This window comes from Homo sapiens, unplaced genomic scaffold (genome assembly GCF_000001405.40).
Source record: "Homo sapiens unplaced genomic scaffold, GRCh38.p14 Primary Assembly HSCHRUN_RANDOM_CTG20".
Classification (NCBI taxonomy): Eukaryota; Metazoa; Chordata; class Mammalia; order Primates; family Hominidae; genus Homo; species Homo sapiens.
In genome coordinates this window covers 181,842-208,328 of record NT_187498.1, presented here as the reverse complement: position 1 = coordinate 208,328, position 26,487 = coordinate 181,842, and the positions used below count along the sequence as shown (strand labels likewise).

Genomic DNA, 26,487 nt, shown 5'->3' with positions numbered 1-26,487 from the left:
CCACTCCGCCATTTTCCTCCGGAAGTGTGGCACCCAGAGGCGGTACTGTAGCTGGGCCGGCTTGGGGCTTGGTTCTATGTCCCTGTGGGTCGGTGCGAGGGCCAGGAGGAACCCGTGAGCCTCAGGGGATCCCAGGGGGCCGGACCAGTGTTCCCTAGTTGTGGGAGCAGACGCGTGGGCGCATCACGGGAGGGCAGGGCCTGAAGAGCAGGTGCGGGCTGCGGACCCTGGCAGGGGCTGGGAGGACAGGCGTGGGGTCCCAGCAGTGACGCGGGTTCTAGAGGCACAGGAGCGGGTAGGAGAGGCCGGTGGCCCTGGGCCCGGAGTCTGCAGGCCGCGCTCCTGTCCTGCCGCTGAGGGACCCGGTTACCAACCCGCATGATGCTCAGTTTGCCCATCTGTCCCAGTGCTAACACACAGTTCTCGGGAGACGTTCCCCATTCCCAGAGGAGTAGTGTGAAACGCATGCGCCTCTAGTCTTAAACTTGACGTTTGTATTAGTTTGGTTTCCTGGTGTCTCTTTAGCAAGTGAAGTTTCTGGTTCCCTCCTTCACTGTGTGACCTGCCTAGTCCTCCTGGGTCGCATTTACAGAAGTTTATACGAGACCTAGTTTCCAGGGAAGAACTCACTGATTCCGCGAGGGAGATGGCGTAATAGATGATGGTCGTCAGCCTTAAGGGTACTTCAGTCTTAACTGTGTGTTACAAAGTTTGAAAGGGAGGGTTCCCTATGAATAAGAAGCACACTTGAAAGAACAGCCGTCTGGTCTAACCTCTCACTGGTGCTTCAGAGGAGGAAAAAAGGTCACAGGTGAAGATCCCAGTTTTCCTTGCTCAGGAAATATTAATTCTACTCCCTAGAATGCACAAGATTTGCAAAGACTAGGTGATAGTAGAAGGTTTGGACGAACTTTCAGAAGGTTGAGGTGAATTCAGCTGAGAAAAACAGGCAAGGACTTAGGAAATATTCCTTATTTGAAGGGGCCTGAAAGTGTGGTCTGGGGTACAGGAGTGACCTGTCATACTTGAGAGGATTAAAATACTCTCCAAACACAGTCCCATTCCTTCAATCTTAGCTCGTTTTTTCGCGTCTGAGATATATTAAACCTAGTCCATCACCAAATTTAGCATTAGATTGCGAGTTCTATTGATTGTATTTGATTTGTAATTTAAGATTTTCTCCCCCTACATAATTTTGTTAAAAACACAGAAGTGAATTCTGTTCACTTAGGTGTAACAGTTAATACTTGCTGTTTAAGGAACTGATTAAACCTTACTGGCTTATAAAAAACAAACACCATTTTATTTGTTTGAAGTTCTGTGGATCTGCATTTTGGTGTGGTGGATTCACCTGGGTAGTTGATATATTTGTGTTGCCTGGATCACAAAAAGGCCTTAGTCACCTGGTGCCTTGACTGAGCCTGGTTGGTTTAAGATAGTTTCCTTCACAATCTGGTGGTTTGTGGTGACTCTTGGCTAGGCCCTGTGTCTCCAACAGGGTAGCTCCAGACCTCTTCACAATTTCTCCCAAAAAGGGAAGAACCAATGGATATTTGCATCACATTTTCCATTGTCCATTCACTGGACAAGTCAGATGGAAAAGCCCAATTTATTGTCAGAGCATAATATGAGAGCTTGGATAGAAGGAAAGGTGTTATTGGGAAACATGAGTAGAATGGTGTACTGTAGGAAATACGCATTATGTACATTTTAAAAAGCGTAATTGTAGGCCAAAATTGCTGGTTTGCAAGATGCACTTTCCATGATGTTCAGGTATAGAAAAGCAAGAGGTACTGTCACGGGAACACTCATATGAAGTTATTTGTGGAATCTACATATTAATAGGAAAATAGTTAATACAGCCCAGTATATTTCTATAACATTTATTTTAGTGAACTTATGTTTCTTTGTATTAAATTATTAGATTATATCTTTAGATCATATTGTTACTAAATTAGTAGGTAATACATATATTTATTCAAAAATAAATTGTGCATCTAATGTCTACCAATTAATGTACTTGTCTATGTATCTTATCTTAACTTGAGCCTCTGCTGCCCCTAATGAGGCGTGAAGAACTCTTCTCCCCTGGAGAAGTTTTTCTTTTTCAGGAGGGAGGAGGGCTTTCCCGGGTAATGTGTCTAGAGCATTGGGCAGAAGAATCTGGGACCACACCACACCAGTTCTCTCCTTAATCCACGTCATTTGCCTTCTATCCCAGCTATGTTTCCAGTGTCCTCTGGGTGTTTCCAAGAGCAACAAGAAACGAATAAATCTCTGGTGAGTTGCTTACTTGTTCTTCACTTTGTTTTACACTGTATTTTCTGAGTTTATGGGTGTGTGTGAATTAAAAAGGAAAAGTATAAATAAGTAAAACTCAGGTTGAAGGAAATATACATAAATAAGATAAAGCTGACTTGTAGATATAGGCAGGTTATAAGAGCTTAGAGTAGTCTAAGTTGGGTGCAAATTTTCCTCTGATCTTTCTGATGCCGAGACAAAAAAGGCAGTCATATTTGTTACGTGATTGGAATGGAACCCGAGAAGAGAGCATGCTGTGTTCTTGTGGGACAGGAAAGATTGTGTGCACCAAGTCCGAACCACCACCTTCATTGGTGACATAGATTATGTGCTGGAACATATTTCACACCGGCCTGGCAGTAACCACTTGTAGTGTTGTGCAGTGGAAACGGTCATCTTCCGCTAAAGCACGGCGTGTTGTGCAGTGGTAATGGTCATCTGCCGCTAAAGTACAGCTTCCATCGTAAGGTGTGCTCATTGCTCAAAGAGTGTGGTCCCAAACAGCTTTTAGGAGGTCCTCCTTGATTCATGGATGAAACCCAGAACATCTTGAGGACTGAGTTAACCATAGGCCCTTAAATAACTCTCCAGACATTTTTCTTAGTTTATCTCTACATGCAGGGTGTGCAGCAGCCTGTTCAAAGTCATATTTTCTGGGAAATATTTCCAGTGTTTATTTGCACTTTAGCCCACTCTGTGTAGTCTTAACTTATTTCTTCTAAACTCACCATTAACCTAATTAATAGTCAAATTTAGGGGGACTGTATTGGACTTACTCAAGTCTTCTACCATAGTTGAAACTGTCGAACCCGAGTGAGTTAGAGATAAACGCCACGCTTTGAGACGAATTCAGGGGTCCTTTATTAGCTGGTGACTGAGAGACGGCTAATGCACGAAATTCTCTCGGCCCCGAAGAAGGGACTAGATTTTCTTTTATACTTTGGTTTAGAGAGGGGAGGGGGGATTCTAGCTGCAGCAACTTTACAGAAGAAAAAAACAGACAAAAAAGTTAAAAAGACTGATGGTTACAGGAAAACAAACTGTTCCAGGTGCAGGGGCTTTAAATTCACCACAAAATGATAGGTGAGGGGGCTCTGGGCATTATCTGCCAGACAAATGTGGGGCTTTATGATACTATCTCTGAATAAATTGCTGGGAACTGCAGACATCGCTTGTCTAAGCACTTTATCAGTTAATTGCACTCTTTGATATGTTGAAAGTCAACTTGCACAAGTTAAAGTCCTTGAGGAAAGGGGGTGGGTAGGGAGCCCTTGATGTCTTGTAAATGAAGGAGCCAAATGGAGTTTGTCTGGTTTTCTCAGCTAAGGGAGAGTCTATTCATATTAAAAACAAGGTTAGCTATCTAAGGAAGAGTCTATTCATGTTACAACGTTGGGTATTACAAAACATCTGTTCATGATCTGGAAATTCTTCTGTGTTAGTTCTGTTAAAAGAAAAACTTTAAAGGAGTTTAATAGAGCAATAAACGATTCACGAATCAGACAGTCCCCAGAATCACATCAGGTTCACAGAGACTCCAGCGCATTCATGTGGTGGAAGAAGATTTATAGACAAAAGGGAAATGGCATACCGAAATCGGAAGTGAGGTACAGAAACAACTCAGCGTTTGCCTTGTTTGAACACATTTTGAACATTTGGCAGTGCCTGAGTGGTTGAAGTTTGGCCATTGGGATTGGCCAAGATGTAGCTGTTGTTCAAGGTGCATACTCTTAAGTTAGTTTTTCATTCTTCTATACCTATTAAGGTAGGTTACAGTTCATCCACAATGAATCATATATAGAATTATGGAGTCCTTCTCAGGCCATACTTAGTTCACTTAACAATGCCTTCCCTTTGGTTATTTTCTCAATTTTGAGAGATTGGCCAAAACTTCAGTCACTGATGTCACTATTACCATTGCAAATGTACTTACTTGGTTTAGAAACCCACTGGGAAATAGACCAGTGAGATTTGAAAAGGTGGAACAAGGACTTGAGTAGAAGGTATCTTCTTATGCTGGAACATCCTGTTTACAGGAGAAAAACAAACCTGGTTTGTTCTAGGATTTATGTGTTTCCTTAAAGTCTTAGTTTGATTATGTTACATTTAGCAAGAGTGACTCCATTTTGGTTTGGTTTGGTCTGGTTTGGACCTATTGCATGAGTTTAGTTCAAAACAATGACCTCCCATAATTTTGCTTAAAAAATTCCTCCTTTTGGCTGGGCACGGTGGCTCACACATGTAATCCCAGCACTTTGGGAAGCTGAGGTGGGCAGATCACGAGGTCAGGAGATTGAGACCATCCTTGCTAATATGGTGAAACCCCATCTCTACTAAAAATACAAAAAATTAGCCAAGCATAGTGGTGGGTGCCTGTAGTCCCAGCTACTCAGGAGGCTGAGGTAGGAGAATGGCCTGAACCTGGGAGGTGGAGCTTGCAGTGAGCCAAGATTGTGCCACTGCACTCCACTCTGGGGGACAGACCAAGACTCTGTCTTAGAAAAAAAAGTCCTCCTTTTCAGTCAAGTTCTCACTTAGTTGAGAGTGTGACCAAAATGTAGGGCCTTATCATCACTCTTAGTTACCATTGTTTTGGGTTCCGGGTTTAGCACGTCATTCCCATTGTTTTGGGTTTCTGGTTTAGCACATCACTCCCATTGTTTTGGGTTCCAGTTTTAGCACGTCACTCCCATTGTTTTGGGTTCGGGTTTAGCACGTCACTCCCATTGTTTTGGGTTTCTGGTTTAGCAGGACGCTCCCATTGTTTCGGGTTTCTGGTTTTAGCACGTCACTCCCATTGTTTTGGGTTTCTGGTTTAGCAGGTCATTCCCATTGTTTTCAGTTTCTGATTTAGCAGGATGCTCCCATTGTTTTGGGTTTCTGGTTTAGCAGGTCACTCCCATTGTTTTGGGTTCCAGTTTTAGCACGTCACTCCCGTTGTTTTGGGTTCCAGTTTTAGCAAGTCACTCCCATTGTTTTGGGTTCCAGTTTTAGCACGTCACTCCCGTTGTTTTGGGTTCCAGTTTTAGCACGTCACTCCCATTGTTTTGGGTTTCTGGTTTAGCAGGTCACTCCCATTGTTTTCGGTTTCTGGGTTAGCAGGATGCTCCCATTGTTTTGGGTTTCTGGTTTAGCAGGTCACTCCCATTGTTTTGGGTTCCGGTTTCAGCACATCACTCCCATTGTTTTCATTTCCGGTTTTAGCACATCACTCCCATTGTTTTGGGTTCCAGTTTTAGCAAGTCACTCCCATTGTTTTGGGTTCTGATTTTAGTGCACATCACCCCCATTGTTTTGGGTTCCAGTTTTAGTATATCACTCTCATTGTTTTGGGTTTCTGGTTTAGCACGTCACTCCCATTGTTTTGGGTTTCTGGTTTTGCAGGTCACTCCCATTGTTTTGGGTTCTGGTTTAAGCACATCACTCCCATTGTTTTCATTTCCGCTTTTGGCACGTCACTCCCATTGTTTTGGGTTCCAGTTTTAGCAAGTCACTCCCATTGTTTTGGGTTTCTTGTTTAGCACGTCAATCCCATTGTTTTGGGTTCTGGTTTTAGTGCACGTCACTCCCATTGTTTTGGGTTCCCGTTTTAGTACATCACTCCCATTGTTTTGGGTTTCTGGTTTAGCATGTCACCCCCATTGTTTTGGGTTTCCGGTTTAGCATGTCACTCATAGGTTATGGTGTCCTTACGGTTGCACTTTTTTTTTAATCTCTTGTCATTCCAGTTGAAGAGATACCATTTGATATTTTAGAGATGCCTGCATGCAAACTCTTAAAACATTTGAGTAAGTACAGTGCACCAGGGAGACTCTTATGACTGTTGGGATAACACCAAGAATTTGGTATATGCTCCTAACTCAGGGTCCCCATAAATCAAACCACCTAAAATCAAATAGATTAAAGAATGAATTAGATAAAGAGTTTACTTGCTTAACTAAGTGGGTTTTTTTGTTAATTCCCTACAACCAAATTTTTATAATACCCCATGTTTTCTCCACATGCTGTAAGTGTTAGCAGCTGCACAGATACTTAAGATAAGTGTCTCATGATAGTAGAGAAGTCTTGATCTGTGATCTTGGGAAAAGCTGTTCACATTAAGGATGCCATCTTCTTCTGGGGGGAACTGTCCTTGTTAGCTTTACCTTAAGGGTTCCAATGGGTATATGGTTCCAAGTGTGGAAGGACCTTTCTGAGTTGTGAGACTATGAACCCAAAGTTTAAGGTTTTAAAGTTTTGCTGTCATGTGGATGGCAAGGGCAGTCCTTCTCTGATGTTCTCAGAAGATCCAGTCATCAGATTCCAGATTTTGAAGGGGTTGACTGTCCTCAGTGAACCATAAAAGGCTTTCTTTACCTGGTGAAAATACACTTCAGGGTAATAATCTACTGTTTTAACATCAACTCTCTCGCATGGAAGAGCTTTTATACAATCAGAAAACATGCACTGAAAATGACAACTGAATCAAATCCCTTTATAAAATGTTTAAATGGCCCATCAGGTAACCAAATGTACCTGAAGTTTTGATTGTTTTCCTAGAAATATAGGTTTGACAAACTAAACATTGGTTATAAACTATTTTAGCAGTTTAGAAATCACCACAACAATATATTTAATTTGGATCATTTTCTCTTTCCATGATGAGTTATGGAATGCAGAACTTTTAATAACAAAAGTTTTAAGGACTTAAGAAGGATAAGGTGGCCATCCTGGTTCTTCATAAGTCTGTGCTTAATTAACATTAGACTTACATCCTCTTGAATACCAGCTGTTTCTCCAAATTACGTGCATGGCACTGGTAACTGATGAGTAGTTATAGGTGATTTGACTTAGACCATGGAGTTTATTTAAATTATATACCTAAACAATTTCAATATTGGTGATTTAGCATGCAAATGTGGCAAAATATTTCCTTGGTATACAATTTTTGTTTTACTTAGGTTAGCAGTTTTATAAACCAGTTGGTCTATTTATTAAACTTTTGGGATTTTTTTTGAGACAGAGTCTCACTCTGTTACCTAGGTTGGAGTGCAGTGGCACAATCTTGGCTCACTGCAACCTCCACCTCCTGGGTTCAAAAAATTCTCTTGCCTCAGCCTCCAGAGTAGCTGGGATTACAGGCACATACCACCACACCCGGCTAATTTTTACATTTTTAGTAGAGGTGGGGTTTCACCGTTGGCCAGGCTGGTCTCAAACTCCTGATCTCAAGTGATCCACTGGCCTTGGCCTCCCAAAGTGCTGGGATTGCCAACGTGAGCCGCTGCACCCAGCCTAACTTTTGAGAATTCTTAACCTGTCCAATTCTTGGGGTATCAGGGAACTTATGGGGAATTTTTACCCATTATATTAAAGTTATTAAAAATCTGTGTTCACGAGTGTTTTTCAGGATCCTTTTCATTCTTTCATGAATCTTCTAAGAGACACCATATTCTAGAATTTTGCATGCTTGTGAAGTTTTTAGAAACTGCATCACCATTAAGCAATTAACTGTGGAAATGACTTTAAATAGTTATAGATAAAGACAATTGACAAGGAAATTTGGTTATTTCTGTGGTCTACAATAACTTAATAACCATAATTAGGGTGGATGTGGTGGCTCATGCCTGTAATCCCAGCACTTTGGGAGGCCGAGGTGGAAGGATCACGAGGTCAGGAGATCGAGACCATCCTGGCTAACACAGTGAAATCCGTCTTTGCTAAAAATACAAAAATTAGCCTGGCATGGTGGTGGGTGCCTGTAGTCCCAGCTACTCAGGAGGCTGAGGCAGGAGAATGGCATGAACCCGGGAGGTGGAGGTTGCAGTGAGCCAAGATTGCACCACTGTACTCCAGCCTGGGTGACAGAGCAAGACTCCTTCTCAGAAAAAAAAAAATACAAGAATTTTAGAAATCCTATACAATTTTAGAATGGATTGATGACATACACCGAATATAACCTAAAGAAGGTTCAACATTATTTTGTATTTTGACAGTGCTAGCCATGTGACTTAACATGTTAAATAGTCCTGTTTACCTCTCTTTTGGGTGCTTCAGGGGCCTCTGTAGTATCCCAAAGTTAGAGGTCAGAAAAGACAATTTTGAAGTTGCAATTTGATTTTGGGAAGCGTATTAAATATATTAAAGGTTTAAACACTTGATGTTATGAAATAGAATTCCACGTCAACGTAAGTCATTCATTTACCTAAAATCATGACTTAAAAAATTTTTAAAGGGCAAAAATCTTTACTCATTGATAGGGGGAAGACTTATCTCCACAAATAATCTGCCTCTTGTTTTTCCTTTTTTTTGGTAGTTTATTTACAAGGCAAACAAATTTTTCATTTTTTAATTTTATTTTATTATTATTATTATTATTATTATACTTTAAGTTTTAGGGTTTATGTGCACAATGTGCCAGTTAGTTACATATGTATACATGTGTCAGTCTGGTGGGCTGCACCCATTAACTCGTCATTTAGCATTAGGTATATCTCCTAATGCTATTCCTCCCCCCCCCCACCCCACAACAGTCCCCAGAGTGTGATGTTCCCCTTCCTTTGTCCATGTGTTCTCATTGTTCAATTCCCATCTATGATTGAGAACATTCAGTGATTGGTTTTTTGTCCTTGTGATAGTTTACTGAGAATGATGATTTCCAATTTCATCCATATCCCTACAAAGGACATGAACTCATCATTTTTTATGGCTGCATAGTATTCCATGGTGTATATGTGCCACAATTTCTCAATCCAGTCTATCGTTGTTGGACATTTGGGTTGGTTCCAAGTCTTTGCTATTGTGAATAGTGCTGCAATAAACATACGTGTGCATGTGTGTTTATAGCAGCATGATTTATAGTCCTTTGGTTATATACCCACTAATGGGATGGCTGGATCAAATGGTATTTCTAGTTCCAGATACTTGAGGAATCGCCACACTGACTTCCACAATCGTTGAACTAGTTTACAGTCCCACCAACAGTTTAAAAGTGTTTCTATTTCTCCACATCCTCTCCAGCACCTGTTGTTTCCTGACTTTTTAATGATTGTGATTCTAACTGTTGTGAGATGGTATCTCATTGTGGTTTTGATTTGCATTTCTCTGATGGCCAGTGATGATGAGCATTTTTTCATGTGTCTTTTGGCTGCATAAAGTCTTCTTTTGAGAAGTGTCTGTTCATATCCTTCACCCACTTTTTGATGGGGTTGTATTTCTTTTCTTGTAAATTTGTTTAAGTTCGTTGTAGATTCTGGATATTAGCCCTTTGTCAGATGAGTAGGTTGCAAAAATTTTCTCCCATTTTGTAGGTTGCCTGTTCACTCTGATGGCAGTTTCTTTTGCTGTGCAGAAGTTCTTTAGTTTAATTAGATCCCATTTGTCAATTTTGGCTTTTGTTGCCATTGCTTCTGGTGTTTTAGACATGAAGTCCTTGCCCATGCCTATGTCCTGAATGGTAATGCCTAGTTTTACTTCTAGGGTTTTTATGGTTTCAGGTCTAACATTTAAGTCTTTAATCCATCTTGAATTAATTTTTGTATAAGGTGTAAGGAAGGGATCCAGTTTCAGCTTTCTACATATGGCTAGCCAGTTTTCCCAGCACCATTTATTAAATAGGGGATCCACTCCTTGTTTTTGTCAGGTTTGTCAAAGATCAGATAGTTGTAGATATGCGGCATTATTTCTGATGGCTCTGTTCTGTTCCATTGGTCTATATCTCTGTTTTGGTACCCGTACCATGCTGTTTTGGTTACTGTAGCCTTGTAGTATAGTTTGAAGTCAGGTAGGGTGATGTCTCCAGCTTTGTTCTTTTGGCTTAGGATTGACTTGGTGATGCAGGCTCTTTTTTGGTTCCATATGAACTTTAAAGTAGTTTTTTCCAATTCTGTGAAGAAAGTCATTGGTAGCTTGATGGGGATGGCATTGAATCTATACATTACCTTGGGCAGTATGGCCATTTTCATGATATTGATTCTTCCTATCCATGAGTATGGAATGTTCTTCCATTTGTTTGTATCCTCTTTTATTTCATTGAGCAGTGGTTTGTAGTTCTCCTTGAAGAGGTCCTTCATGTCCCTTGTAAATTGGATTCCTAAGTATTTTATTCTCTTTGAAGCAATTGCATACGGGAGTTCACTCATGATTTGGCTCTCTGTTTGTCTGTTATTGGTGTATAAGAATGCTTGTGATTTTTGTACATTGATTTTGTATCCTGAGACTTTGCTGAGGTTACTTATCAGCTTAAGGAGATTTTGGGCTGAGACAATGGGGTTTTCTAGATATACAATCATGTCATCTGCAAAGAGGGACAATTTGACTTCTTCTTTTCCTAATTGAATACCCTTTATTTCCTTCTCCTGCCTGATTGCCCTGGCCAGAACTCCCAACACTATATTGAATAGGAGTGATGAGAGAGGACATCCCTGTCTTGTGCCCGTTTTCAAAGGGAATGCTTCAAGTTTTTGCCCATTCAGTATGATATTGACTGTGGGTTTGTCATAGATAGCTCTTATTATTTTGAGATAAGTCCCATCAATACCTAATTTATTGAGAGTTTTTAGCATGAAGCATTGTTGAATTTTGTCAAAGGCCTTTTCTGCATCTATTGAGATAATCATGTGGTTTTTGTCTTTGGTTCTGTTTATATGCTGGATTACATTTATTGATTTGCGTATATTGAACCAGCCTTGCATCCCAGGGATGAAACCCACTTGATCATGGTGGATAAGCTTTTTGATGTGCTGCTGGATTCGGTTTGCCAGTATTTTATTGAGGATTTTTGCATCAATGTTCGTCAAGGATATTGGTCTAAAATTCTATTTTTTGGTTGTGTCTCTTCCCGGCTTTGGTATCAGGATGATGCTGGCCTCATAAATTGAGTTAGGGAGGACTCCTTCTTTTTTTATTGATTGGAATAGTTTCAGAAGGAATGGTAACAGTTCCTCCTTGTACCTCTGGTAGAATTTGGCTGTGAATCCATCTTGTCCTGGACTCTTTTTGGTTGGTAAGCTATTGATTATTGCCACAATTTCAGATCCTGTTATTGGTCTATTCAGAGATTCAACTTCTTCCTGGTTTAGTCTTGGGAGAGTGTATGTGTGGAGGAATTTATCCATTTCTTCTAGATTTTCTAGTTTATTTGTGTAGAGGTGTTTGTAGTATTCTCTGATGGTAGTTTGTATTTCTGAGGGATCAGTGGTGATATCCCCTTTATTATTTTTATTGTGTCTATTTGATTCTTCTCTCTTTTTTTCTTTATTAGTCCTGCTAGCAGTGTATCAATTTTGTTGATCCTTTCATAAAACCAGCTCCTGCATTCATTAATTTTTTGAAGCGTTTTTTTGTTGCTATTTCCTTCAGTTCTGCTCTGATTTTAGTTATTTCTTGCCTTCTGCTAGCTTTTGAATGTGTTTGCTCTTGCTTTTCTAGTTCTTTTAATTGTGATATTAGGGTGTCAATTTTGGATCTTTCCTGCTTTCCCTTTGGGCATTTAGTGCTATAAATTTCCCTGTACACACTGCTTTGAATGTGTCCCAGAGATTCCGGTATGTTGTGTCTTTGTTCTCGTTGGTTTCAAAGAACATCTTTATTTCTGCCTTCATTTTATTATGTACCCAGTAGTCATTCAGGAGCAGGTTGTTCAGTTTCCATGTAGTTGAGCAGTTTTGAGTGAGTTTCTTAATGCCGAGTTCTAGTTTGTTTGCACTGTGGTCTGAGAGACAGTTTAATTTCTGTTCTTTTACATTTGCTGAAGAGGGCTTTACTTCCAAGTATGTGGTCAATTTTGGAATAGGTGTGGTGTGGTGCTGAAAAAAATGTATATTCTGTTGATTTGGGGTGGAGAGTTCTGTAGATGTCTGTTAGGTCCACTTGGTGCAGGGCTGAGTTCAATTCCTTGGTATCCTTGTGAACTTTCTGTCTTATTGATCTGTCTAATGTTGACAGTGGGGTGTTAAAGTCTCCCATTATTATTGTGTGGGAGTCTAAGTCTCTTTGTAGGTCACTCAGGACTTGCTTTATGAATCTGGGTGCCCCTGTATTGGGTGCATATATATTTAGGATAGTTAGCTCTTCTTGTTGAATTGATCCCTTTACTATTATGTAATGGTCTTCTTTGTCTCTTTTGATCTTTGTTGGTTTACAGTCTGTTCCATCAGAGTCTAGGATTGCAACCCCTGCCTTTTTTTGTTTTCCATTTGCTTGGTAGATCTTCCTCCATCCTTTTATTTTGAGCCTATATGTGTCTCTGCACGTGAGATGGGTTTCCTGAATACAGCACACTGATGGGTCTTGACTCTTTATCCAATTAGCCAGTCTGTGTCTTTTAATTGGAGCATTTAGTCCATTTACATTTAAAGTTAATATTGTTATGTGTGAATTTGATCCTGTCATTATAATGTTAGCTGGTTATTTTGCTCGTTAATTGACGCAGTTTCTTCCTAGTCTTGATGTTCTTTACAATTTGGCATGTTTTTGCAGTGGCTGGTACCGATTGTGCCTTTCCATGTTTAGTGCTTCCTTCAGGAACTCTTTTAGGACAGGCCTGGTGGTGAAAAAATCGCTCAGCATTTGCTTGTCTGTAAAGTATTTTATTTCTCCTTCACTTATGAAGCTTAGTTTGGCTGGATATGAAATTCTGGGTTGAAAATTCTTTTCTGTAAGTATGTTGAATATTGGCCCCCACTCTCTTCTTGCTTGCAGAGTTTCTGCCAAGAGATCAGCAGTTATTCTGATGGGCTTCCCTTTATGGGTAACCTGACCTTTCTCTCTGGTTGCCCTTAATATTTTTTCCTTCATTTCAACTTTGGTGAATCTCACAATTATGTGTCTTGGAGTTGCTGTTCTCGAGGAGTATCTTTGTGGTGTTCTCTGTATTTCCTGAATCTGAATGTTGGCTGGCTTTGCTGGATTGGGGAAGTTCTCCAGGATAATATCCTGCAGAGTGTTTTCCAACTCGGTTCCATTCTCCCCGTCACTTTCAGGTACACCAATCAGATGCAGATTTGGTCTTTTCACATAGTCCCATATTTCTTGGAGGCTTTGTTCATTTCTTCTTATTCTTTTTTTTCTAAACTTCCCTTCTTGTTTCATTTCATTCATTTCATCTTTCATCACTGATACACTTTCTTCCAGTTGATCTCATCATCTCCTGAGGCTTCTGCATTCTTCACATAGTTCTCGAGCCTTGGCTTTCAGCTCCATTAGCTCCTTTAAGCACTTCTCTATATTGGTTATTCTAGTTATACATTCGTCTAAAGTTTTTTCAAAGTTTTCAACTTCTTTGCCTTTGGTTTGAATTTCCTCCTGTAGCTCGGAGTAGTTTGATCGTCCGAAGCCCTCTTCTCTCAACTCGTCAAAGTCATTCTCTGTCCAGCTTTGTTCCATTGCTGGTGAGGAACAGCGTTCCTTTGGCAGAGGAGAGGTGCTCTGCTTTTTAGAGTTTCCAGTTTTTCTGCTCTGTTTTTTCCCCATCTTTGTGGTTTTATCTACTTTTGGTCTTTGATGATGGTGATGTACAGATGGGTTTTTGGTGTGGATGTCCTTTCTGTTTGTTAGTTTTCCTTCTAACAGACATGACCCTCAGCTTCAGGTCTGTTGGAGTTTGCTAGAGACCCATTCCAGACCCTGTTTGCCTGGCTATCAGCAGTGTTGTCTGCAAAACCGTGGATTTTCGTGATCCGCGAATGCTGCTGTCTGATCGTTCCTCTGGAAGTTTTGTCCTCCTGTGAACAATATCACAGGAGGTTATACACAATCTGCGATATTGTTTGTAGTATCCAGTGGGAAAGAGGATGCTATTACTCCCCATATCACAGGGGGTGTACACCCCCACTGTGATATATTCAATAACATCCAGAAGTAATATTACTGACAAAATTGCAGGGGGTGTAAACCCCACCTGTGATAACGTTCCTAATATCCCTGGGAAGAGAGGATGATATTATTCCCAATATTGCAGGGAGTGTACACCCACCCTATGATATTGTTATTAATACCCAGGAGGGGAGACAATGGTATTACTCACAGTATCAAAGAGGTTGTACAGCCCCCCTGTGATAGTTTCTAATATCCAGGGGGTGTATACCACCCTTGTGATATTGTTTCTAATATGTAGGGGGAAGGACAATGATATTACTGTCCGTATCACAGGGGGTGTACAACAAGCCCCCCGGGATGTCATTCCTAATATCCATGGGAAGAAAGAATATTATAATATCACAGAAGTTGTACACCCCCTCTGTGATATTGTTCCTAATATCAAAGACAGAAGGGTATGATGTTCTTCCCAAAATCACAGGAAGTGTATACACACCCTGTGCTATTTTTCCTAATATCGAGAGTGAGAGACAATGATACTTCCAATATCATAAGGAGTGTACACTCTCCCCGTGATACCAGGTGGGGAAATGTTGATATTACTCCAAATGTCACAGTGGGTGTACACACGTTTTGCGATATTGTTCCTAATAGCAAGTGGGGAGGAGGATTGTATTACTCCCACCATATTACTCCCCACACCCCATTATACTGTTCTTAATATCCAGATTTGGAGAGGATGATATTACTCCCAAAATCTCAGGAGGTGTAGACCCCTTCTGTGATACTGTTTCTTATATCCAGGGGAAGACTAGATGATAGTACTCCCAACAGTGCAGGGTGTTACACGCCACCCCCCATGATATTGTCTCTAATATCAAGTTGGGGAGAGGGTGATATTGCTCCAAATAGTGTAAAGGGTGCACACCAGCACTGTGATATTATTCCTAGTATCCAGAGAAGGAGAGAACGGTATTATTTTTAATATCACAGAGGCTGCACACCCCCCTTGTGATACTGCTCCTAACATCCAAGGGGTAGAGGATGAAATTACTCCCAATATCACAGTGGGTATACACCCCCCGTGGTATTGTTCCTAATATCCAGGGGGTATAGGATGATAGTACTATAAATATCGCAAGGGGTGTACACTCCTTCTGATATTGTTACTAATATCCGTGGGGGGAGTAGATGATATTACTTCCAATATCACAGGGCATGTACACCCCCCTTGTGATATTGTTCCTAATATCCTGGGAGGAGACTACGATATTACTGGCAATATCGCAGGGTGTGTGCATTCCCGTGATATTGTTCCTAATGTCCAGCAAGGGAGAAAATATTACTCCCAATATGGCGGGGGTGTACACTTCCCGTGCGATATCGTTCCTAATATCCATGGGGGAAAAGGATGATATTACTCTAAATGTCGCAGGAGGTGTAAACCGCCCCTGTGATATTGTTCTCAATATCCATGGGGGGAGAGAATGATATTACTCCCAATATCACAGGTGGTGTACACCCCTCCTGTTATATTATTCCTAATATCCAGGTTGGGAGAGAATAATATTACAGGTAAAATAGCAGGGGGTGTACACTCCGCCTGTGATATTGTTCCTAATATCTCAGGGAAGAGTGGACAATATTACTCTCAATATCGCAGGATGTGTACACCCCCTTTGTGATATTGTTCCTAATATCCATAGGGGGAGAGGGTGATACCACTCCCAATAATGCAGAAAAGGTACAGCCCCGCTGTGATATCATTCCTAATATCCAGAGGGGACAGGATGATATTACTCCCAATATCACAGAGGGCATACACTCCCTCCCCATGATATTGTTCATAATACCCAGGGGATAGAGGATGATATTACTCCCAATATCGCAGTGGGTGTACAACCACCCTGTGATATTGTTCCTAATATCCATGTGGAAAGGGTATAAAGTTACTCCCAATATCACAGGGGTTGTACAACCCCCTTGTGATATTGTTCCTTATATTCGGGGGAGAGACAATGATATAGCTGTCCATATTGCAGGTGGTGTACAACCCCCTGGGAATTTGTTCCTAATATTCAGTGGGGAAGATGATATTAATTAAAATGTCACGGGGTGTATACAACCCCTTTGTGATATTATTCCTAATATCCAGGGAAAGAAGGAATATTATTCCCAATATCGCAGGGGATGTACACCCCTCTCTGATACTCTTTCTAATATCCCTGGGGGGAGTCTATAATATTACTGGCAATATCATAAGGAGTGTATACCCCCCGTTATATTGTTCCTTATGTCCAGCAAGGGAGAAAATATTAATCCCAATATGGAACATGGTGTAGACACCCATGAGTTATTGTTCCTAATATCCAGGGAGGGAAAGGATGATATTACTCCCAATGTTGCAGTGGTGTATAACCCCCCGTGATATTGTTCCTAATATCTAGGTGGGGAAAGTACAGTATTACTCCCAATATAGCAGGGGTTGTACACCACCTTTGTGATATTGTTGTACATATCCATGGGGAAAGAAAATGATAGTACTCCCCAATATCACAGGTGGTGTACAACCCCTTGTGATACTGTTTCTAATATCCATGTTGGGGGAGGATATTACTCCCAATATTGCACGTGTTGCACAGACCCCCTTTGATATTGCTTGTACTATGCAGGGTGTCGGGGGAGAGGATGATATTGGGAGTAATATCACCCTCTCTCCCCGGATATTAAAAGCAACATTCAGGGTGGTCGACACTTCCTGCACTATTGAGTATAATATCCTCTCCCAACCTGGATATTAGGAACAATATCACAGGGGCATGTACACTCCCTTCCTTTCACCATATACAAAAATCAACTCAAGATGGATGAAGGACTTATGTAAGACCCAAAACTATATAAACCCTAGAAGAAAACTTAGGAAATATCATTCTGGACATAGGCGCAGGCAAATATTTCATGATGAAGATTCCAAAAGCAATTGCAACAAGAAGAATTGACGAGTGGGACCTAATGAAACTAAAGAGCTTCAGCACAGCAAAAGAAACTATCAACAGAGAACACCCTACAGAACAGAAGAAAATATTTTCAAATTACATATCTGAAAAAGGTCTAATACTTAGTATGTATAAAGAATCAATAAGCAAAAAGCAAACCCACTACAAATAGGCAAAGAACATGAGCCCCCACATTCACCATCCTCAAGTCCATGTGCAACTTCTTTCTGGATGCTGGACAAGGACTTGGGTACCAAGAGGGCACTGAACGGGTTAACACTTAAGCCGTCTGTAGATTCTTTTTTCAAAAGACAACGTATGTATGGCAAACAACCATATGAAAAAATACTCAACATCACTAATCATCAGAAAATCAGAACCATGAGATACCATATCACACCGGTCAGAATGGCTATAATTAAAAAATCAAAACATAACAGACGGTGCCGAGTTTGTGGAAAAAAGGGAATGCTTATACACTGCTGGTGGTGATATAGAAAGGAGACAGGGAAATACTGGGTAGAAGAGAGTGGTTCCCTGGCAAAGCCCTGCCCACAAGCCTGGAAACCCATGGCCGTAAATGGGAACAGGCATTCCTGCTTTTGCACCCAAAAGTTGTCTTTCAGCTCACCATGCACCCCTTGTCCTGTACCCATATATGCCCCAGACCCCAGGCTCCAGAAGCAGACAAGCAGATGAGGAGATGAACAGAAGAGCAGAATTGCAAAATGATGTGGCAGAAAGAAGAGAAGGAGCATCTGAATGCCAAGAGGAGTTTGGCTGGCAGTGGTTGGAGAGATCAGCCTCTGGATGGCAAAGCTCCTGGGGAAGATCATCTTCCCATTCCATCCCCTTTCCAGCTTCCCATCCATCCCATTGAGTGCCACCTCCACCACTCAATAAAACCCCCACATTCACCATCCTCAAGTCTGTGTGCAACTTAATTCTTTCTGGATGCTGGACAAGGAACTGGGTACCAAGAGGGCACTGAACAGGTTAACACTTAAGCCGTCTGTGGATGACAAAGCTAAAAGAGTGCACTGTAACACATGCCCACTTGGGCTGTAGGAGTCGCAGGAACCCACCCCTAGACAGTACCATGGCCACTTGCCCTGCCTATTGCACCTGCCTGTCTGCATGCTTCCCTGCCCAGTAAGGGGTTTGACAGCACACACGGTGGCCAGACAAGCCACACCTCTGTTGCACATCCTGCCAAGGGGAGTCAGGGAAGTCTCCAGTTTCATCAGGAATGTAAATTTGTTCAGCCATTGTGGAAAGCAGTTTGGAGATTTCTGAAATAACTTAAAACAGAACTACCATTCAACCCAGCAATCCCATTATTGGGTATATACCCAAAGGAATATAAATCATTCTGTCATAGACATATGCACGCATATTTTCATTATAACACTATTCACAATAGCAAAGACACGGAATCAACTTAGATGCCTGTTAACAGAAGACTGGATTAAAAAAATGCAGCGTACATACACCATGGAATACTACACACCTATAAAATAGGATGAAATAATGTCTTTTGCAGCAACATGAATGGAGCTGGATACCATTATTCTAAGTGAATTAATGCAGGAACAGAAAACCAAACAAACACTGCATGTTCTCACTTATAAGTGGGGGCTAAACATTGAGTCCACATGGACACAGAGAAGGGAACAATAGACACAAGGTCTACTGTGGCTGGATGGTGGGGGGAGAGTGAGGATCAAAAAACTCCCTATTAGATACTACGTTCACTACCTGGATGACTACGTAATCTGTACACCAAATCCCATTGACACACATTTTACCCATATAATAAACCTGCACATGTACCCGCTGAACCTAAAATAAATGTTGGAAGGAAATAAAGTTACAACCAACTCTTGTACTATTGTGAGGAAACAATCATATGTGTTGACAAAAAAATCAGCTACTAATAGATTTATAATAGTATATATGTAGCAGAAAAATATCAGATATAACTTATATACCCAAAAGTATGACTTAAAAACAGCATGACAATCTTTATGATGGGATATTGTGCAACTACTAGAAGCACATTTTCAGAGATTATTTATTAACATACGATAATGACTACATTGAGTGGTTTTTAGAAGCATGAATTGAAACCATGTATAAGCATGACTTTATTGAACTTATATATAACATTACACACACATTTACATAATTATAAAATAAGTATGCTCATGTTCATAATATGTATTTATTTATATTCATATGTAAGGCCAATAGGAAGTAATCTCTGTATCTGAGTTATTATTTCATAAATAATTTATGCTTGTTCTGTGAAAATAAAAACACTGCTATGGATCTTCCAAGTATCCTGAAAGGATACCGTTTATAATTAAACAATAACAATTTAAAAAATCAATTGTATTGAAAGATAATTTACATAAAATAAATACTATTTTAAAGTGCACAGTTTGCTGAGTTTTGCCAGATGTAACCATCCAGGTGAATAAAATTGATTAAACTGATCTTTCAAATAATAAATTAACTTTGCAATCTTGCTAGAAATTTAATTTGTTCACAGTTTATTATCCATTCTATGTACTGCTACATTCAATTGGTTATTATGTTTTAAGGACTTTTGAGTCTATGTTTATGAGGGATAAACATCAAAGTTGTATAATGCCTTTGTCTCGATTTGGAATCGGCAATACTGGGTTCATAAAATAAGATAGGAAATGTCCCTTTAAATTTTCTTTTTTTTTTTTTTTTTTTTTTGAGACGGAGATTCACTCTTGTTGCCCAGGCTGGAGTGCAATGGCACAATTTCGGCTCTCCACAATCTCTGCCTCCCAGATTCAAGCTATTCTCCTGCCTCTGTCTCCCAAGGAGCTGGGATTACAGGTAAGTGCCACCATGCCCTGCTAATTATGTACTTTTAGTAGAGATGGGGGTTTCTCCATGCTGGTCAGGTTGGTCTCAAACTCCTGACCCCAGGTGATCTGCCCGTCTTGGCCTCTCAAAGTGCTGGGATTACAGGTGTGAGCCACTGTGTCCGGCCCTTAAATTCTATTTCTTAAAAAGAGTCCGTTCAAGATTGATGTTATAGATACCCCTCAACTTACAATTGTTTTATGTCTTAATGAACTCATCCTAAATTGAAAATATTGTAAGTCTAAAACGCATTTAATATATTTAACCTACTGAATATCATGACTTAGCCTCGCCTACCTTAAACTTGCTCAGAACACTTACATTATCCTACGATTGGGCAAAATCATCTACCACAAGGCCCATTTTAAAATATTGAGTTTCTCATGAAATTTATTGAAAACTATACTGATAGTGAAAAACTGGTCATATTGATGCTCATCGTTAACGTACACAGATGAAAGCACCATTATCAAGTAAGAAGAGCACAAGTCAAACCACTGTAAGTTGAGGACTCTCTGTACTTTCTTAAATGTTTGATAGAATTCACCTGAGAAAGCATGTAGCCTGTAATTATAGAAATCTTTTTAAATTAAAAAAATTCTTCAATACATAGAGAAGCTATTACTTTTTCTATTTCATTTTGCATTAGTTTTAAGAATTAGATTTACAAATAATTTCCCATGTTATTTTAATTGTCAAATGTATTGGTCTAAAGTTTTCATAATTATATTGATGTCTGTAGTTTCTGTAGTTACATCCTCTATTTAATTCCCATTATCTACATTATGTAGCTTCTCTAATTTTTTTCGAGATAAATCTTGCTAGCCATTGTTTATTAAAAAATTTTTTTTCAAAGAACCAATTTGTGGGTATATTAATTAGCTCTACCTTTTGTTATTTGCTATGTTGTTGGTTTACATTTTTATCTTTATCATCTTCCTTCTTCTTAATTTGGATATACTTTGCTTATTTTTTAGCCTCTTAAAAAAGAAACTAAAGGTCATTGAAGCCTTTTATTTTCAATATATTACATCTATAAATGTACCTTTAAGAAACGGTTTATCTGCATCCCACATTTTATTAAGTTTTTAAAAAATTTTCTTTCAGTTTAAACTATTTTTTTTTGTGTGTGAAACTTTTCTTGGCCAATGGGTTTTTCTGAAGTATTTTGTTTAATGTTCAAATGTTGGGGTGTTATTGTACATATCCTACTGTTGTCCATCTCTGGTTCATGATACAATGCATGTTCTCCATTGCACTTAGATAACATGCCTCCATGTCTCTGGAGAATTCCTCAGTCTTTCTAAAATGCTTTTGATGAATACTGGCCGTTATTTTGTAGAATGTCCCGCCTCAATTTCAGTTAGTCTGATGTTTTCTCATGGTTAGGACTAAAGTTATACATTTTGTCTAAGAATACCATAGAATTGATGTTTTGTCCTACTCAGTGCATCATATAAGAAATTACATGAAGTTCATTTATCTTATTATTAGTAATGTTAACTTTGATCACTTGGCTAAGTTGACATCTCCACTTTGAAGTTACTATTCTATAATTATCTTGTGGGAAGATACTTTCATATTATGCAAATATGTTCTTTCCCAACATATATTCACCACTAATCTTAGCATTCCTCCAAGGTTCTTTCTTGCAACAATTATTACTATGATATTTGCAAAGTGATGATTCTTATATTTTATGTCTCCTACATTTAATGAAATCTTACTGTAATAAAATACTACCCACTCTCAATCTTTGGTTTATTATTTATGTCAATATGGATTTTTGTTTTGAGTTGGAGTCTTGTTTTGTCATCCAGGCTGGTGTGCAATGGTGCGATTTCCGCTCACTGCACTTCCACCTTCCGGGATTCAAGCCATTCTCCTGCCTCAGCCTCCGGAGTAGCTGGGACTACAGGCATGTGCCACCATGCCCGGCTAATTTTTGTATTTTTAGTAGAGGCAGGGATTCACCACATTGGTCAGGCTGGTCTTGAACTCCTGACCTCAAGTGATCTGCCCGCCTCTGCCTCCCAAAGGGCTGGGAATACAGGCATGAGCAACTGCACCTGGCCTGGATTAATTGAAAATTTTCTCCTGTAGATAGTAATATATTATTATTGTTATCTATTTTATTGCCCCAATTTTCTCAAATTTGGCTATGGAAGTTTATTCAAAGTGGATCTGTTTCCCTTTCACATTTTCCCCATTTTGTGAGCATTTCCTTACTTCCTAACATGACAAAATATTTCAAACTAATCTTGTATTTTCCCTGCCCAATCCTGCTATCAAATATGTCCCCAAGGAGCCTTGGTTCCTTTAATTGGAGAATGGTGTTCTCATTGTTACTGGGATGATGTTGTTTCTAGGCCCTTTTGTTAGAGGAGCTAGAAAATATATGTATGTATACTCACACATTTATACACATCTGTACTTATTTATACAATTATCCATCTGTACGTATACTAAAAACAATGATTTCATGAAACTTTTGATCCCAATCCAACACTAGATAAAGACTATATAGGCCCATTTATTTGCAAATCAGCACATAAACATAGAAGAATTATTAACAATATAAGCTGTAGCTTATGCTAAATGTTGGTTGGAACAGACAATAAGTTATGGAGAACTTCAGAGGACACTAAGGTTGGATGGGATTTTGGAAGTTGTACAGGTCAATGCCACTCCATCTATTGGCTGAGTTTCACTAGGTTAATACATGAACAACAACAAAAATAACCTAGATCAGAAGTTAAAGATCATTTTATTGACTATCTGCCGTGTCTGTGCCATTGCAGTGTACTAGGTGCACTTACGAGTCCTCTACTTACAAACTGCTTTTCACAAAATATGAAACTCCAGGAAAAGGTTCAGACATACAACGTTTGTTTTTAAAATCTTTCTACAGCCTTGTATCCTTTTTCCTTTCCTTCCTTTTACCCTTTTTAAAATGTGTTATGAGTTTTATCTTAGACTAACATCATCTGTAATGTTGCTATACGCCAGTATTCAGTTGCTGTGTTTGATGAATCATAAAATGGTGTAAAACTTCAATTAGTGTACTTTTTAAATAAAGTATCTATGAATGCATCCAGCAAAATATTTATGATTTGAGTATTCACACAATATTACTTTTCTCTGGATCTAACAATAATGTGAAAACGCAAAATGAATATAAAATATTAGCTAATAATAGATTTCAAAGTATTGTACAAGTATGAAAAATATATGATATTGTTACTTTCATATATGTAAAACATTAATAATTTTTGTCAACATAAACATCATCTTTACACCTAAACTTGTATTAATTCAATTAAGAGTTAATATAGTATCCTAAAGTCATCAAATATTCAAAAATAGGATGTATTCTGACTTGGAATATACATAAAATTAACTATTTTCAGCTGAGCAGAGTGGCTCAAGCCTGTAATTCCAGCACTTTGGGAGGCTGAGGTAGGCAGATTGCTTGAGATCAGGAGTTTCAGACCAGCCTGGCCAACATGGTGAAACCCTGTCTCTACCAAAAATACAAGTTAGCCAGGCATGGTGGAACCTGCCTCTAATCCCAACTACTCTGAAGGCTGAGGCAGAAGAATCACTTGAACCCAGGAGGCAGAGGATGCAGTGAGCCAAGATTGCGCCACTGCACTCCAGCCTGGGTGACAGAGTGAGGCTCCATATCAAAATAATAATAATAATAAGAGTAATAATAATAATAACTATTTTCTGTGAGTCCAAAGATAAAATAGCATTACAAAATACCTAATAATCCTGAGTTTGGTTTTCTTGGTTTTATTTTTTCATTTAGTTTTGTTCACTTTGACCAGTGGGCTGGTGTTTCTTAGGTGCACCAAGGTTTTCATTTTTCAGTTCAAGATTTTAAAACCTTAATGTGGTAATTTCTCTAATTTTTTTGACAGTTACGTCCCAGGTTGCAAGTTAAAATAAAATTCCCATTTTACTAAAGTCCTTGGTTTATTAATTATTTTATAATGACTTAATATATAATTTAATAAGTAATGAGGGGTACTACATTTCAGAAATCAACACTGAAGAACTTATTCATGGAACCAAACACCACCTGTTTCTCAAACACCTATTGAAATAAAAATACATATAAATAATTTTTAAAAATAAACACTAAAAATAAAGTGAAAATGAAAAAATATATATCCAGGTTAAAAAAAAAACTACTTCAGTTAAACAATAAATACTTTTTGGGGGGACTCAACTCTACTGCAAAATTATTCGTTGTTTATTATAATCAACAATACAGGTAAAAGAATAAGTTTTTAAAAATGGAAAAATTGTAAAAAATAAAACGATATTAACAAATATTGGTATACTGGTGAAGGCCGGGCTCAGTGGCTGCTTTCCAAAGTGGTTACACCAGTCGGGCATGGTGGCACACACCTGTAATCTCAGCACTTCCGGAAGCTGAAGCAGGCAGATCACTTGAGCTCAGGAGTTTGACACAAACCTGGGCTACATGACAACACCCCATTTCTACCAAAAACTGTAAAAATCAGCTGCACATGATAGCATGCACCTGTAAGTCCCAGCTACTTAGGAGGCTGAGGTGAGAGGATCACTTGTGCCTGGAAGGTCACAGCTGCACTGGCCATGTTCATTTCACTGCACTCCAGCCTGGGCAACAGAGCAAGATTTTGTCTCAAAAAAAAAAAAGTTGGTGACAATTGGAATAATTGGAACTCACATACATTACTGGTGGGAACATAAAATGGTGTAATCAATTTGGGTGTTTTCTTGGCATTTGATTTTTTTAAAAAATCAAGACATTGTTTCCCTATGTTGCCCAGGGTTGTCCTGAACTCCCGAGCTAAGAAAATCCTCCAAACTCAGCGTCTCAAATACCTGAGATTAAAGGTGTGAGCCACTGTGCCTGACCAGTGTAACCACTTTGAAAAACAACGTGGCAGTTTCTCAAAGACTAAATGTATAGTAATCACATAATGCAACAATTTCACTCCTGAGTGTAAATCCAAGAGAAATAAAAATATATGTTCACACTAAAACTTACGTACGAGTGTTCATAGCAGCCTGACTCATGATGGTGAATACGCAAAAACAACACAAATGTCCATCAACTAATGAATGGATAAACATACGTACCCTATGAACATGGGGTACGTAGGAGGTAGTGGCTAAGAGGTGAGGGTTTCTCACTCATAAGTGGGTAACTCACAAGTGGGTAATCACTTCTAAGAAAGACTGTGGTGATGGATGCACAGCTCCTTGAATATTCTAAAAACCACTCAATTGTATACTTTCTTTTTTCTTTAGTTATTTAAAGACAGGGTCTCCTTTTGTCACCCATGCTGTAGTGCAGTGGTGCCATCTGGTCTCACTGCAACCTATGGCTTCTGGGCTCAAGTGATCTTCCAGTCTCATGTCCCCAAGTAGTTGGGACTACAGGCATGAGCCACTACACCCAGCTAATTTTTGTATTTTTGCTAGAGATGCTGTTTTGCCATGTTGCCCAGGCTAGTCGCAAACTCCTGAACACAAGCGATCCACCTGCCTCAGCTGCCCAAAGTCTTAGCGTTATAGGAATTAGCCACTGCACCTGGCCTGAATTGCGTACTTTGATAAATGAATTGCATGATACGTTAATCATATTTCAATAACGTTATTATTTTAAAAATGGCTGGGCATGGCGTGGTGACTCACGCCTCTGATCTCAGCACACTGGGAGGCCAAGGTGGGTGGATTGCCTGATTTCAGGAGTTCGAGACCAGTCTGGCCAACATACTGAAACTCTGTCTCTACTAAAAATACAAAAATATTAGCTGAGAGTGGTGACATGGGCCTGTAATTCCAGCTAGTCGGGAGGCTGAGGCAGGGGAGTTGCTTGAACCAGGGAGGTGGAGGTTGCAGTCAGCTGAGATCACACCACTGCATTCCAGCCTGCATGACAGAGTGAGAGTCCGTCTCCAAAAGAAAGAAAGAAAAAGAAAATGGGCATTGAACACAGGTGGCTCCCACCTACATATAATCCAAGCACTTTGGGAAGCTGAGGCAGAAGGATCACTTGAGGCCAGGAGTCTGACAACATCCTGAGCAACACAGCAAGATCCCATCTGTACAATAAAAAATAAAGAAGTTAGCTGGGCATAGGGGCAAATGTATGTAGTCCCAGCTAGTTGGGAGGCTGAGGTGGGAGGACTGTTTGAGTCCGGGGTTTCAAGCTGCAGTGAACCATGATCATGCCACCGCACTGCAGCCTGGGTGACAGAACAAAACCCTGTCTCTAGAAAGAAAAAAAAAAGAAATCCAAGTTTTTATCACCTTCTGAGAGTAATCAACATTCAGGAGGAACAGAGAAGAACAAAAGACCACTGAATGGTTGAGGGTGGGTTGCTGGTTAGGTTCAGTGGCCAGCTGAGTAGTATCTGAAAAATTCATTAGTAAAATTATGGCACTAGGGGTGAGTCATGCAGTCGAAGGATGAATACTAAATCCA

The 26,487-nt window shown here is 39.7% G+C and overlaps 1 long non-coding RNA gene across 3 annotated transcripts; it reads left to right on the top strand.

The window, feature by feature from the left end:
- On the top strand, window positions 1-20,855 carry LOC102723347 (uncharacterized). 3 transcript variants are annotated; one of them, XR_001756162.3, is made up of 3 exons: window positions 1-811; window positions 2,222-2,280; window positions 19,845-20,855. It is a non-coding gene; the product is annotated as an uncharacterized LOC102723347 (long non-coding RNA). The 3 variants fall into 3 exon arrangements; XR_001756164.2 differs by lacking the exon at window positions 19,845-20,855 and adding an exon at window positions 17,761-18,015 and having other exon boundaries at window positions 3-811; XR_001756163.2 differs by lacking the exon at window positions 19,845-20,855 and adding an exon at window positions 6,030-6,476 and having other exon boundaries at window positions 8-811.
- The last annotated feature ends 5,632 nt before the right edge of the window (window positions 20,856-26,487 follow it).